Here is a 16,121-nt window from a genome sequence, read left to right as displayed (position 1 = left end):
CGCTGGGTATCAAATTTCAGCATGAGTATTGCTGAGGACAAACTCAAATCATAGCACTATTTCTGTGAAAAATGTCATCAGAATTTTAATAGGGATTGCATTGAGTCTATAGATTATGTTATATAATATTTATGTAACAATATTAGTTCAGTTCATGAACATATGTCTTTCCATTTGTGTTCTCTTTAATTTTTTTATTAATGTTTCATAGTTTTCAGTGTACAGGTCTCTCACCTTGATTAAATTTACTCCTAAGCATTTTTTTATGACATTATAAAATATTTTTTCTTGACGTCCTTTTTGGATAATTGATTGTTAGGTATAGAAATGCTACTGATTTTTGTGTTTCTATTGTATCCTGAAACTTCACTAAATTCATTGCTTTTAACAGATTTTTGGTGGAATCTTTAGGATTTTGTATATATAAGATCATGTCATCTGCAAACAGTTTAACTTCCTCCTTTGCAATTTGAATGCCTTTTATTTCTTTTTCTTGCCTAATTGCTCTAGCTAAGACTTCCAATACTATGTTGAATAACAGTGGCAAGAGTGGGCATTTGTGTTTTGCTGATCTTAAAGGAAAAGCTTTGAGCTTTTCACCATTGAATATGATGCTATCTGGTAGGCTTGTCATTTATGGCCTTTACTGTGTTGAGGTACATTCCTTCTATACCTAAGTTGTTGAGAGTTTATTGAAGTATGTTGAATTTTATCAGATATTTTTTCTGCATATATTGAGATGATCATTTTTTTCCTTTATTCTGTGGTGTATCACATTTATTGGTTTGCATACGTTAAACCATCCTTGCATGCCAGAGGTAAATCCCTGTTGATCATGGTGAGTGATCCCTTTTAATGTGTTGTGGAATTTGGCTTCCTAGTATTTTGTTGAGGATTTTTGCATGTTTTCATCAGAGACACTGGCCTGTAATTGTTTTCTTATAGTGTTCTTGTCTGATTTTGATATCAGAGTACTTCTGGTCTTGTAAAATGAATTAAGAATATTTTCTCTTCAGTTTTTTATAAAAGTTCAAGAAAGATTGGTATTAGTTCTTCTTTAAATGATTGTTTAACTTTACCAGTGAAACCACTAGTTCCTATGCTTTTCTTTGAGGGGAGACTTTTTATTACTGACTCAATCTTGTTACTACATACTGGTCTTTTCAGATTTTCTGTTTCTTTGTGATTCAGTCTTGGTAGATTGTATGTTTCTGGGAATTTATCCATTTCTTCTAGATTTTCTGATTTCTTGGCGTATAGTTGTTCATAAGTCTCATGATTCTCTGTATTTCTGTGGTATCAGTTTTAATGTCTCTACTTTCATTTATAATTTTTTAAATTTTACTCTTATTTTTTCTTAGTCTACCTAAAGGGTTGTCCATTGTGTTTATGTTTTCAAATAACCAACTAAGAATTTCATTAGTCTTTTCTGTAATTTTTTTTCTGATCTCTATTTTATTTATTTCTGCTCTGATTTTTATTATATCTTTCCTTCTGCTGACTTTCGGCTTACTTTGCTCTTCTTTTTCCAGTTCCTTGTGGTGCAACATTAGTTGTTTATTTAGAACATTTCTCTTTTTTTATGTAGTTGTTTATTTCTATAAGCTTCATTATTAGAACTGCTTTTGCTGAATTCCCATACCTTTTGTTATGTTGTATTTCCATTTTCATTTGTCTCAAGATATTTTTAATTTTTCCTTTTAATTGCTTCATTGACCCAATGAATGTTCAAGAGCATGTTATTTAATTTCTATATTTTTGTTAATTCCAAAATTCCTCCTATTATGGGTTTCTAGTTTCATTCCATTGTCAGAGAAGATACTTGATGTAATTTCAGTCTTGATTTCGGACTTGTTTTGTATCCTAACATATTCTGCTAGGAAAGTAGGAAGTAACTAGATTGGGACAAAATGGTTCAGAACTGTAGTGGTTGGAAGGGATCATTGAGCACTACCACTGAACTGGCCAGTCTTTGATAAAAGCAAATGCTCTGTTCTTTTCCTACGTAGAGTTAGCACTACGGTACTAGAAATGTTGATTATAAAAAATTTATTCTACATTTTTTTTGAACTTTTAGTAAGAAACGTATTAATCAGTGGAAGGATTCATAGTTTTCCTGGTATTTCACTTGAAATAGTTTTAAAAGTAAGACCTTGCAAGGAACATGGATGTTTTTGTCTAAATTCTGAAATGATCACCTTTACACTAATTTCCTATTTTCTCTTCGCTCTTGTTTGAGATAATTATTAGACTGAAATAGGTTCTTTGTAGTACATTTCTAATCTTGCAAGTACACTTGAAAGTCTACATACCCAGAGAAAATAAGTGTAGAATCATGATTTTAGCATGAGGATTTTAAAACTTTTTCCATTATTCTATCTTGCTGGCTTAAAATTAGTACAGCTTTCTTTCTTGTTTTGTTTATATTTTTACCTTTGAATGTTTCTTCATGTAAAAGTGTGTTGAGAGGATTGAGGGAGAGGGTTTATGCTGCTGTGGAAATATTTTTCCTTCTTTTTGGTTAAATCTGCTCCCCCTTGTGGTATAATCTAGGTCATTATAGTGCTCATATTTAATATCTCAGAAAGATAATAAGTTCTTGAGTGTTTACTCCTTACCAGATGTTAGGCTAAATGCTTCGTATACATTTTCTCATTCAATCATCACAGCCACCTTTGGAAAGAGATATAATTATCATTCAGCCCTATTGGATAGATGAGGAAACACAGGATTAGAAACTATAACTAGTGAGTTGTAGAACTATGAGTTGAACTTAAATTTGTCTCATTCAAAATCCCATAACCTTAATTTCTCTGTCATACCATCTCCAAGAGCACTCCAGAAGGAAAACTTTCTCATTGAGGGCTACAGAAATACTTGCACTATTTTCCTCATTTTCTTATTTCTCCATTTTAAAAATCATTTTTTCACTTTCATCCTCATCTGATAGAAATGGTTATGGAAGATGCAAAAAAAAAAAAACACACAGTTTTAAGTGTCTAGCTTTGTATGAATCTGCCTCATTCTAAGTGAGCATCATTTGTACCTCTGTCATTGTTTTTGGTAATACCCTTGCAAGAAAACATTCTCCATTGGTTGGATCCTTCACTGTTTGCTTACATTGGGAGTTTTGATTCATTGTATTCTTAACATTTCTAATGACATAATATCTGAAGAAAGGGAGAATAAATGAAGAGTGTTTTAAAATATCATTTCTGCTAATCTAATGTAACAAAATTTTGTAACTATAAAACCTGACTACTTAACTAAAAGATCCTATGTTCAGGGTCATAGCACTTAATGACTTTCTGGCATGCTTTTACATTCAAATGTCTGGGTGTAAATTTAATGACTTCTACATTTCGAGGCTAAAGAAAATTTCCAGCAAACACAAAATGAAAAAGAGTAAACACATATGCACCTGATAATTTGTTTTGATGCATTTATAGTTTTGATAATAAAAAGTACTTTGTATTGCTTTTCTATTCTGTTCTTAACTAGATTTTTTAGTAGTAATGTGTATTTTGTGTGTGTGTTCAAAGGGCAGCCATTCTACAAAAGTGGAAGCTGTGGTCAGAACTCTGATGAAAATACAGCTTAGAGATCCAGGGGCCAAAGCACTCGTTTTCTCAACGGTATAATCAACATTTTCATCCTCAATATTAATTCGAACTGATTTTCCCTCTCTAATCAGTTTACAGCTGAGAACTAATTTTTGATGTTTACTCTTAGATTTTTTTTCCCAAATCCATAAGATAGAATTATTTTTAGAGAAGATAGAATTATTTTTAGAGAAATGTGATGATGTTTCACAAGGCAATTTGTATAGCTATATTTCATGACTTTTTATTAGTTTCATTTAAGGATTTTCTTAGTTTAATATTTTTAAAATTGGAATTTCTGACTTTGAAAGTCTCATTTCACAAAAATTTGGGTTGAAAAAGACAATCTACTTTATAAAGTGTTGAGTAAAACCCTTAGTTTTCATTTTCGAAAACTAAGTAACTATATTCCAGTATGCACTCCATTATGTATTTTCTACTGTTTGTTTATCTTAATTACATTTTCAAAACCAGCATTTGATGCAAAAAAAAAAAAACAAACAAAATTACTATTTCAGATAGAGCTAAATAATATGGATGGTACTACATTTGAGGGTTTTGGTTTTGGTTTTATTTTCTTAACTCCAGTATAAAAGTCATTTTGATTTATTTCCTTTTCAGATACCCTTAGATAAAGGCTACGTGTAAATATTGGTTTTCTTATTGTTTTATGTGTTCTAGTGGCAAGATGTATTAGATATTATTTCAAAAGCTCTTACTGACAACAACATGGAATTTGCACAAATCAGTCGTGTTAAGACATTTCAGGTATGTTAAGATTTTACTCCGGTTTTTGTAGTGGATACAGTTGCAAATTTAAACTGCTGTTAACTAGCTTACTTACATTTATTGTCTCATGCCATATAAGCCACATAAACAGGGTCTGAGTTCTTGATTAATTATAAAGTGAACATTTAAAAGCAGAGACTGCAGGTATTTTCAGTATATAACAAGACCATTGGTTTTTTAAAGATCTCCCAACTTGAGGTTCTTTTTTTTTTTTAGTACAGGAAAAGATTGCCTATGATATACCTTTTGAATGGACAGGGGCCTCACACCCCAAGGATTAGTTTCTAAAGTCACTGTCAGGCAGAACTGCATGTGGTCACAGTTATCCTTACATCATGCTCAGCACAGTGACAGGCGTATGACCTCAGGCACACACAGAGACCAAATGAAAATTTAGCAGATTCATGTCTCTTATCTCACATTCACTCTAGCACATTCTTTTTCTCTTTTTCCTCTAACCTCATGTAGTTTAATTTGCATGCATTACATGCATCTGTCTTGTGATTCCTCTAGATATTACGAAGAACAAGAGAGCTTATATGATACTTTTCTTCATAATTAAAATCAAGCGACAAGTTTACATTTTCTAAAGTTGGTAATTTTGCATTTAAGTTTCTTAGCTGTTACCTTTCACAATAGTAATAGATAGCATTAGACATCTTTAAAGTGAGCTATTACATACTGCTCTTATTTTAACTGATCGAGCTAAAATTAAAATGTACCTTTCTTTTTTAGGAGAACCTTTCAGCATTTAAACGTGATCCCCAAATCAATATTTTGCTGCTGCCCCTGCACACAGGTTCTAATGGATTAACTATCATTGAAGCAACTCATGTTCTCTTGGTGGAGCCCATATTGAACCCTGCCCATGAGCTTCAGGCCATAGGGAGGGTGCACCGAATTGGACAGACAAAGTAAGGACTAAAATTAGAATCAGTCACATTTGCTTCAGTTTTCTGAGAAACCAAATCAGTATTTAAACTCTTCATTTATGTTCATCATAGCGTACTTGTTTTTAATTACTTCCTTAGATACTACATTTTTTAATTATTTATTTTATAACTTATTTATTTATAACTTTTTAATTATTTAATTGAAAGGCATGAGATTTCCAACCCTCCCTTCTCTCCAAGAAGCAAACCCCCAAATTGTCCCAATTTTTTTCTTCCCTCCCACAAAAACCTTATCACTTTATCCAAAAAAAAGCTTGTTAGAAATACTTAAGACAGCTACAAAGTTGAAGGCATCCATCATGCCTTTGAGGAGAATGGAGTTTTGATTGTCTAAAGTAGTCCCGTGTTTAAAAGAAGACATACCTTGTACATGACTGAAAATAAATGGCTCCTTTTAAAATTCTTAACATTAGGAAAAGACACCCCCTAGGTCAGCTCCAAGAGATCATTAGATTCAGTTTAAGGCCCAAAGCAAACCTAATAATGAATATTATTATATGGCATGTATTACCTTTATTCATATATCAGAATAGACAGTTATCTTTGATAAGGCCTGCTAAATGTATTACCTTCTGGATGTTAGAAGTCTTTGATGTTTAAAAAAGGAAAAAAAAACACATCCATAATAAGCACTTACTAAATCAGTATTTATTGAGCACCTACTGTATGTCAGGCATTATTCTAAATACTGAAGATTCAAATTGAATGATACATAATTTATTTCCCCAAGGAGGTCACTGTGTAGTACAGGAAGCATGACTTAAAGTGTTGGGGTAGAATGTGCAAAAGTATAATAATAAAAGGACTGTGTTAACAAAAGAAGATAATGATCACTCGGGCCCTACAGAGTCAGGAAAGACTTTATGGTGTTAAGTCTTGAAGGAATAATTATTTCAAAGTTGGCTGGAAAAGGGTATTCACACAGCCAAAGAGAGTTATATATGCAAAAATACAATGGTGGGAAATGACATGACATTTCTAGGGACTGTAAGGAGTTTGGAATTGTTGCAGTATAAAGTATGAGAAAGAGATCATCGGCAGGAGATGAAGTCTTCTGTGTCATACTCAGAAATGTAGACTGCCCCGTAAGAAGTAGCGGGGAGAGAAAATAAAGGGCTTACTTGAAAACAGGAAAGAGACATGTTTATTAAACCTCTTAACAAATAGGGCAAAGTAACTGTAATAAATGCGGGCTTGTTCTAACATACCACCAAGTGGCATTTAAAATGCAGTCATGTCTTACTTGTTTTTTGTTGGTTTTCTTCTGTGTTTTTAAATATTGATTTTTTGTCCTACCAATGTTCTTTTAAAGCATAGGCTGGACTAGTCTCATATTTAAAACCACGAGTCCAAAAGGCCATTCAGCATTACCCAACAATCTTACTATGCCTCGCAAGTCAATATGTTTTTTTCTACTTTCTGAGGAGTCTGTCTTAAGTGTGTCTTCTTCCTCCCCATGGCGATCTTGCCTCATACAGGGGAAACATATACAATCAGATTAGAAGTACCTCATCTTTCCATCATCAACTTGAACAGTCTGCCTGCATCAGTACTCACATACTTTTTGGTAGATTTTTATTGAGTATCTTCTGTGTGCCAGGCACTGTTTTAGGAACATGAGATGTCCTCATGGAGTGCGATTCTAGCTGTAATGGGGTTGGTAGACAGAAAGGTGGTAAACAATAAACTAAGTACAATCTGGACTATGTTAGGAGCTGGAAAAGTAGAGCAGGGTGAGGAAGTAAAAGTGCAATGTTTGGGCAGGAAGGCATGCAAGGCCTTATTGAGAAAGTCTGAGCAAGGACTTGAAAGAAATGGGAAAATGGGAAAGTTAGTCATGCAGCTATCTTGTGAAAGAATGTTCAAGTAAACAGTGCTTTCGGTGCAAAGGCCCTAAATCAGGAGTGTGGTATGTTAGAAGAATAGCAAGGAGCTACAGTTGCTAAAAGGGAGAGAAGCAGGAGTTGAAGTGAATGGGCTCAGTGGGGAGAGGGATTACATTGGGCCCAGGAAGCCACTGTGAGGATGGTGCTTTTGCCCTGTGTGAAATCGGGAGCCATTGGAAGGCTTTGAACAGAGGCTTGGCATATCTCACTTAAGTTTTAAAAGAATCATTCTGAGTGCTGTGATAGGGTGGGAGTGAAGGGGAGCAAGGAAGAGTAGAAGCAGGGAGAGTCTTGGAGGCTATTGCAGTCATCCTGGTGAGAGCTGAAGGTGACCTGACCATGGCAGTAGCAGTGCACATGATGAGGAGTGGTCAGGTTCTGGATATATTTTGAAGATAGAACTGATAGTACTTTTGGACAGACTAGACATGGGGTATGAGAGGGTCAAGGATAACACCATGGGTTTTGGCTTGGACAACTAGAAGGATGAAGTAACCTTCAACTGAGCTGGAGAAGTCTACAGGGTAGAGCAGATTTGGTAAGGGAAGAACAGACATCCAAATGGAGATTTCTATTCTGTAACTAGATGTACAAGTCCATTAAGTCACGAGACTGAATGAGATTACCTAGGAGTGAGTTTAGATAGAGACAGAGTTTAGATAGAGGACCATGGACTGAACTCCAGGGCACCAAAGTTCAGCTGTTCTAGGAGAGGAGAAGGAAGCAGCAAAGGTAACAAATAAAGATCAAACAGTGAGTTAGGAAGAAAACCAGAAGACAGGAGTGTCCTAGGAACCAAGTGAAAAATGTACCTCAAAGAAGAGGTTATGGTCACCTGTTTCAAGTGCTATGAAAAATGTCAAGGAAGATAAGGATTGAGAATTGATCATTAGATTTAGCAACATGGAGATCAAAACCAGGTTAAGTGGTAGAGGTGACAGCCTGACTTTAGTTTTGGAGAAAATGGGATTTTGTGTATTTCTTATTTAACAAATATTTGTATAACAAAGAGAGGTTAGGTAACTTGCCCATAGTCAGGCAGCTAGTAGAAGCAGTGGCAGATTTCAGGCACAGCCATTCTGCCTTCACAGTACAAGCTTTAACCACAGTGCACTGCTGCTTCTGTGTGGCTGGTAAGGCCAGTATTTTGAGGAGTTTTGCTGCAGAGAAAAGGAAGAGAATGAGATCAAGAGAGGTTTTTGTTTTCCTTTCAAATGGGAGAATTAGTAAGAAAATGATTCATTAGAGACAACAAAAACTAGTGAAGGAGAACAGGGAGAATGCTTGACAATGTCCTTGAGTAGGCAAGAGGATATGGGATCAAACACTGAAGTGGAGGAAGGGGTTGGTAGTAGGCAGAAGCATGGATATGTCATCCAGTAATAAGCAGGAAAGTACCTCATATGCCTTCCCTTTTATTACAGCAGAAGTGTCCCTTTTCTTTCAAAAGCCATCCATTCATTTGTCCTGGACTCCATTCTTTCTCATTTTTCAAGGACAGGTGTACATTTCCCTTGTACAGGTTGAGCATCCCTTAACTGAAATGCTTCAAGTGTTTTGCCTGTAGGATTTTTTCAGATTTTAGAATATTTGCATATACATAGTGAGATATCTTAGGAATGAAACCCCAGTCTAAACATGAAATTTATTTATGTTTCATATACAAATTCTACTCATAGCCTGAAGGTGATTTTATATAATATTTTAAATAATTTTGTGCACAAAACAACGTTTTTAATGTGTTTTGACTGTGACTCATCACGTGAAGTCAGGTGTTGAATCCTCCACTTGTCACGTTGGCACTCAAAAAGTTTTGGATTTTGGGTTTTTGGTTAGGGATACTCAACCTGTCATATATTACCCCATAAATATGTCTTAATATTATCCATCTTTAGAAAGAAAAAAACACTCTGATACATCCTACCTCCATCTCTACTTTTTTATCCCCCATTCTCTGTCAACCTGTCTGGTTGATTTTCTCCCCACCATATCACTGAAGTGAGACTTATAACATTTCTAGTGACCTACTTCTTGCCAGTGGTCTGAGGGTTCTTTGTCTACACCCCTTCGATGAATTTTTCCAGTCTTAGGGCTTTAGGTAGCTTTTACAGGTTGATGACTCTCAGGTGTATATCCCCCAGCCCAGACATGCCCATATAGCTCCTGTCCCAGGTGCATATATCCAGTTCTAGCTCTGCACACATATCTCTGGACTCACCTTGGATACCTGTCTAATAGGTATCTGATAGGTTTCACATGGACAAAACAAAACTGTGTTGCTTCTGCACTCTCACTCCCACCCTGAGCTTTCCCCATCTTATAATGTGGCACTGTCATCTGTTCCTGCCCAGATCAGAAATCTCGGACTCTTCTATATTTTTCTTTTCACATCTCACATGCCAGTCATCTTTTAAGTTTTGTCAGCTCTACCTCCAAAAGATATTCCAAATCTACTTGACTGCTATCTCCACTGACACAACCATAGTGCATCCACCCTTACTTACCCAGATGACTACAGGACTTCTTAACTGGCTTCTCTGGTGCTCTTCTTGCTGAGCAAGAAGTACATCCTCCACACGGTTGCCAAAGGGATTTCTAAAGTACAGTCAGGTATACATCAAATCATGCATACAAACCCACCAAGGGCTTCCCATTATAACCACGATAAAATTCAAATGCTTGGTCACATCCTGGAAGGCCCTGTGTGACCTGGCCCCTGCACATCTCTCCACCCTTATTTTCACCTCTCTCCCTCGCTTACAGGATGCTTCTGCCATGCCAGCCTTCTTTTGGCCTCTTGAACATGTTAGGCTTGTTCCAGGCATATTCCCTTCCCGGGGACTGTGTATGTATGTGCTGTTTCTTCTGTTTGGATATTCTTCCTACTCCTCCTTTGCCTACTGGCCTCATTCCCATCACTCTTTTTTCAGTTTGCATGTCAGCCTGTTCTCCCAGCATTATATTTACCTGAAACCGTCTTACTCTTTTATGTGTTTATTGTCTGTCTCTCATTAGAATGTCAGCTCATGGAGATTAAATAGTTCATTTTATTCGCTGCTGAACCCCTCCCAGCACCTGCCACAAGTGGGCACCAACTGACTGATGAATATAGCATATAAAATGTGAAGTCGGTTTGTACTGATTTGTTTTACTATGTTTTTAAGCTTAAAATTCTTCTGTACCTTTTAGACCTACTATTGTACACAGATTCTTAATTAAAGCAACAATAGAAGAAAGAATGCAGGCAATGCTGAAAACTGCTGAGAGAAGGTAGGTAATAATTTACCACAAGTAGAAGGGGGAAGGTTTTCCTGTTAAAAGTTTGTATCTTTAGAACTTCTTCACTTAGATGACAACGAAAAATATAGCACAAATACGTTTTTAAAAGCAAAGTCTGACGTTTTGCCTTTTCACTGTTTCCCAGTCAGTGCTCCAGACTTTGTATATTTGAATTAATTTATTAATTGTAACATGTAAATATAAACTATACTACATTCCTTTGCCACATTGGATCACTTTCTGAGGCTGGGAGTTCGAAACCAGCCTGGCCAACATGGTGAAACCCCATCTCTACTAAAAACACAAAAATTAGCCAGGCATGGTGACACGCACCATAGTCTTAGCTAGTCGGGAGGCTGAAGCAGGAGAATCGCTTGAACCCCGGAGGTGGAGGTTGCAGTGAGCCAAGATCGTGCCACTGCACTCCAGCCTGGGCAACAGAACGAGTCTGTGTCTCAAAAAAAAAAAAAAAAAAAACAAACTTGTTAAGGTTAATTGTGGTGTCAATCCAAAGACAAAACAAAAGCAGAGAGACTAAACCAGTCTTAATTTTAAAAGCTTGACTCTGGAATCATAGAACTTTCTAATATTTATGGTATAATTTATTTAAATCTTTTTGAAAACATAAATCTTTCTACATCTTTAGGAGGTAGGTAGGATTGGATGGTACCCAAGGAAGAGATTATTGCCTTAGAAGGGATTGTCACATAGCAAAGAAGCAATTTGAAACTAGAAATTTTCTTCCATTGATGGTTTCTGGGAAGGAAAGAGGCTTCCACAAGGGCCTTTTTACCTAAAACATGAAGGCTTTTTAAAGTTCTTGTTTTCCTTGTGTATCAGACTTCAGTGATTTTTATTTAGGTTGTTTTAATAAAATAGCAGTTATGAGTTGTTTGAAATTCTCTTGAAACAAATTAACTTCAGGTGGTAAGAAGGTAATTTGTAAGGTGAGAGCCTTAGTAGCAGTAGTCAAGAGTTTTATTCTTTGTTCTATTAATTGCACAGAGAAAAAACACTTTGACAAACACTAAAAGTAATATATAGAAATCTTCACTTTGACAAGGTATAACAAAGATTTTATCACTTGCTTTCCTCTGGGAGTTTCTTATATCCCAATTACAAAAACTTAAGAAAAAATATGTGTCTAGTTCGTATTACTACAAATATAATCGCTGATGGCTTGGGGTTTCTTTCTGACTGTGCTCATTTGGGAAACCTTGCAGTCACACGAACTCATCAGCAAAGCATTCAGAGGCCTCTGTCTTGACTGTGGCTGACCTGGCAGACCTATTTACCAAAGAAACTGAAGAGCTTGAATGAACTACACTTGATTCATTCCATGGACTTTAGTGTATTAATAAACTTTCATAGCTGTAGAGCAAAGTTACAAGTTTTAAAAACCCAGTAGATAACAGTAACACTGTTCCTAGTTGAATGAATTTGTTTATTGTTCTGGTTATACAGTGGCTTAGTACTTATTGAGTCCTTTTCAATATACTGTTTCCAAAAGATCTATAAAGATTCTTAATTTTACACTCCTAATAAAACATTTATTTTTTGTCCCAAATAGTATCTATATCTGATGATGCAAGGGAATTAAGAGAGGTAATGTGTACTTTTCTTATGATAAGATCACTCATAAAACAGTTGGAATAAGAAAGTAAACTAGTCTAGTTTTATATGACCTGGTATATTGAACAAACATAGATCTCAGTTTTGGAAGGGCCTTCAGTATCTTTAGCACATGATTCACCAATATCTTGTTAGTAATATTTTAAGTAGATGGTGAATTATATTAACCCATTTTTTGAGTAGGCTTATACCATAACTTTACACCTAGTAATTTTGCAGTAATACAACTCCTTACAATAAGTTAATGTTAGACAGTTATTTGTTTCTTCTGCATCTTGCTACTGAAAACAAAAACAATGAAAATATTCATATTTCTATTATGTGTAAAGTGGTGTTAGTGTAAACAGTTAACTCCAAATAGATTTTTTAATGTATTAATGATTACCTTAAAATTATCTGCTTTCCCTACTCTTAATTTTTCTTATTGTTAAAGTTTTTATATGTTGTAAGATTGATGTATCTGTAAATATTGCAGTTTTTATGATTTTGTTTTATTATAACATGGAAATATGGCAGGGTTTTTTTTTTAATCATTATTATACTGATGTCTTGGATTCTTTTTCTTTCCCATGTTCTTGTGTAACTAGACTTTTTAGCCAGTGATATCTGAATTCATGGTAGAGTTGTTATTTCACTCCAGTTGTTCCTCCCTTAAGCACGAGTCTTTGACCTTTTGAACAAGAGAATGCCATGTTCACATAAGCAAATCGTTGCAAGTGATAATAACGAAGTGTTTCTTCTTCTGTGAGGAATTAATGGACTTTGAAATTGCTGAATAAGGAGTAGCTTGTTACATCCTAGCCATTTGATGTAATACAAATGTTCTTATTTGGCTTCCTTTTCTTTGAGCCTTCAGAGTTTTAAAGGACCCTCTTTGACCCTCAGGACTTATTAGCTCCCAGTTAGCTGCCTGGAAAACTCATAGAACCATTCCCTAGATCCCATTTGTCCGAGAGGCTTTGGTGCTTAGTTAAGGTGCATTTTCTTACTCTAGGTTTATAGAGTGATGTAATTCAACTGAAGAAAACACACACATGCTTTTGGTGCTTATTCTTCAGTTAAAAGGAGGTATCCATTGATTCTTTTATATGAAATTAAATCAAACTGTTATTTTTATAGCTCTTCACATATTAAAAAGAGCTTTCATGTACATTTACGTGTTTAATTTACCCAACAATCTTGTGAAGTTGATATAATTAATATCTTTACTGTTTTAAAGGTAGAGAACTGAAGTTCAGATATATTGAAACTTTCTTAGGACATGTAGCAAGTAAACAGTGGAGCCCAGGTCCCCTGACTCCATATCTTACATTCTTTTACTAATAACATGTCATGCTGAGATTCAGAAGGCCCATGCTTATAATTTAAAAATGAGACTATTTCAGTATTTCTTTGTGTTTGTTTTCTACTATTCCTTTCTGAGCTATGTTTTAGAGAAAACAATTTGATATGCTTCAATTTTGTAAAATCAAATTACATATATATAAAAAAACCTATCTGTATTAGACAAAAACTGTTTTTATTTATTTCTGTAAGATATCCATTAAATAAATATTTTAGTGGAAATGAAAATTGTGGAATTCTTTGATTTCTGAGACTTAGAACATATGGGGTTTTTTGGTTTTTTCTTTCAACAAAAGATATCAAAATGGCTAATACTATAGAATCCCATATTTTATATACATTTATTACATCTTAAAAACAATTGTGACAGTTTCCAATTGTTCAAAACAAGTACAAATCTGATCCTCACATTTTCTTGGCTGCAAACAAAGGATTTTTTAAGTTTTCTTTCTCTATTATTTTATAGCCTCTGAAATATTACTGTGTTTAGAAGTAGTTGTTCTTAAATGGGTGCTATGCTAATGAACCAATGAGACAAAATGAGATAGCCGCAATTGTTAGAGTAGTCCCAGTCATTAAACTTAAATGTGTTTGGACCTGGAGAATCATTTTCTGTAACATGATTCCAGATGAGTTCACTAGAACTAAAAAGATACATACAATGTAAAGTGCATATACCTAACGTCATAGCCTTTTTGCTTCAAACCCAGATAGCTCTGCTATGTTTATTGCAGCGTCACATTTCTCTTTGTATGTGACCTGAGCTGAATAAGCCATGCATGCATTCAGTTTTAGGAATTGTTATCTTTCATATCACATGAACAACAAACTAAAAATCTTAACATGATAATTCAACATGCAACTACTAATACTTTACAAATAATGATCAAACCAACTACTTACCTAAATATTTAGGAAATGAATTTAACAATGCAAGGTTAATCACCAATGCAAGCTATCCTGTCAGGTGGATAAAGTAAGAAATCATGTCTTTTTAATCTCCTGCTCTCATTTAATAGCTCTTCCAATGTGCTTAAGTTATTTACGTTTATTAAACGACGAGACAACCTTTCAAAAATGCAGAGATCACCGTGCTGAATAACCTCAGGCTTAAGTCGAATAAAAGGTATCTTTCAATTTTTCTAGAATTTAGCTAAACAAAATCCCACAATGTGCCATTTCATAATTTTTAACTGGCATACAAATGCAAAAATGGAATGTAAAAAAAAAAATGAGTGTAAACCAATTAAATGAATTAAAAACCAATGCAAAAACAAAAAAATGCATTACAACAGTCTAGTACAAGCAATGCATTTTAAGCCTGTCTACTCTGATAAATGACATCTAGTCAGTAAGACTTCTTCAAAGTGAGATCAGTTAACAGTTTTATAAAATTTTCTGTTTACAAGAATCTCTGTGTACCTCTGTTACATTGTGAAGCCCACATGAATGCTTATCACATGGAAGGGTCGAATATGAACCACTTGCAAGCCTTCCCTTAGAGGAAGGCTATGTAAGTAATTGATAACCCCAAAGGGAGTTCAAGCCTTATGCTAGGTATGTGGTGTTGCCTCTGAGTTACAAAACAGATAGTATCACATACAGAAAATAGCACGAGTACTTGGCAGAGGCCAAAGTTGCCATCTCCAGCCTTCCCCTGTCTTCAGACAGCCTTTTCAGGGGCATGTATAGCTCATCTTCGAAGAGTAAAGGTCCCCACACCATCCTCGTATCTTCATCATTTAATGTCAGTGACTCTCAATACTGATTTTTGGGGACTGACTTTGTTATCTTGAAACCAAATTTTTATTGCAGCTTATGCTTCTTTTCCTGCAAAATAGAAATTAAAAAACAGCCTCCATTATCTGTATAATGATCTTTATATAGGTCACTACTATTACTAAAATTAATAACTTTTTCCCTGCTTATCAAAAAATCAGCCTTTTTTAAATGGTCTGCCTTTCCAAACCCTATTGTTATCTTTGTCTCTCCAGTAAACCTGCTCTTAATGCTCCACACCCCCGTAGATAGCCTATTAGAGGAGCCATTTGTCCAAGGACACATTTTCGACCTATGGGATCTTCCCAGACCTGTGATTTGTATATGCACACAGTTCTGATTACTGACCCTTCCAGTGTTCTAATGAGCAAACATTTGTGCTCAAATTTCCTTAGAAATCGTTTCTGCATATTTTATTATTTATTTAGGATATACTTACTGAAATTACCTGTGGTCATTTTCTGCCAAGACTATTTAATTAACATTTACTGCATCATGTCCCTAATTCTTTACCCAGAACCGTAAGGCACCTCATGCCTCTTCTGATCTCTTGGCTTCCCATAATCAAACAACTGCTATCTCCAGTTATTTTTCCAGAGCCTTTGTAAAAATTTCCATTGACTGAGAGCATCATTGCCTGTTGATAATGTTGAGTGTATTTTCCTTTGTCACAGAATTATGTCTTCTTTGGTAAATGCAAATCTGTGTTTTAAACAGGAATGCATTTTAGTTTCTGATCTTTATCAGAATGTTTATAAGTGAATCCGCTATTAAACTGTGAAAGCATCAGTGTGGAATGTTGTATTTACCTAAAACTTCCCCAGTGCTTTTCACTTCTCAAGTCCGTAATTATAATC

At 35.0% G+C, this 16,121-nt stretch overlaps 1 protein-coding gene and 1 long non-coding RNA gene across 18 annotated transcripts in view; one reads left to right on the top strand and one right to left on the bottom strand.

Moving 5' to 3' along the window:
• SHPRH (SNF2 histone linker PHD RING helicase) overlaps positions 1 to 16,121 on the top strand; it is a 106,521-nt gene that overhangs the window by 65,839 nt on the left and 24,561 nt on the right. For 6 of the 15 annotated variants that reach the window (XM_047418600.1, XM_006715439.5, XM_047418601.1 and 3 more), the window contains exons 26-29: positions 3,543 to 3,635; positions 4,284 to 4,370; positions 5,127 to 5,305; positions 10,420 to 10,500. The exons of 2 other annotated variants lie outside the window; for them this stretch is intronic. In XM_047418600.1, the coding sequence (XP_047274556.1) occupies positions 3,543 to 3,635; positions 4,284 to 4,370; positions 5,127 to 5,305; positions 10,420 to 10,500 (440 nt within the window). Of the gene's footprint in view, positions 1 to 3,542; positions 3,636 to 4,283; positions 4,371 to 5,126; positions 5,306 to 10,419; positions 10,501 to 11,732; positions 13,714 to 14,504; positions 15,295 to 16,121 lie in introns of those variants that run through there. 7 more of the 15 variants (NM_001370328.1, NM_001370327.1, NM_001042683.3 and 4 more) reach the window with 5 other exon arrangements.
• Positions 11,935 to 16,121, bottom strand: part of EPM2A-DT (EPM2A divergent transcript) — a 151,717-nt gene continuing 147,530 nt past the window's right edge. For all 3 annotated transcript variants that reach the window (NR_038246.1, NR_038244.1, NR_038245.1), the window contains one exon: positions 11,935 to 15,315. This is a non-coding gene — a long non-coding RNA (EPM2A divergent transcript). The remainder of the gene's footprint in view (positions 15,316 to 16,121) is intronic.

The sequence above is a fragment of the Homo sapiens genome, chromosome 6, assembly GCF_000001405.40.
Source record: "Homo sapiens chromosome 6, GRCh38.p14 Primary Assembly".
In the NCBI taxonomy this organism is placed as follows: domain Eukaryota; kingdom Metazoa; phylum Chordata; class Mammalia; order Primates; family Hominidae; genus Homo; species Homo sapiens.
The sequence above is the reverse complement of the archived record's forward strand: the minus strand, read 5'-3'. Positions and strand labels throughout refer to the sequence as shown.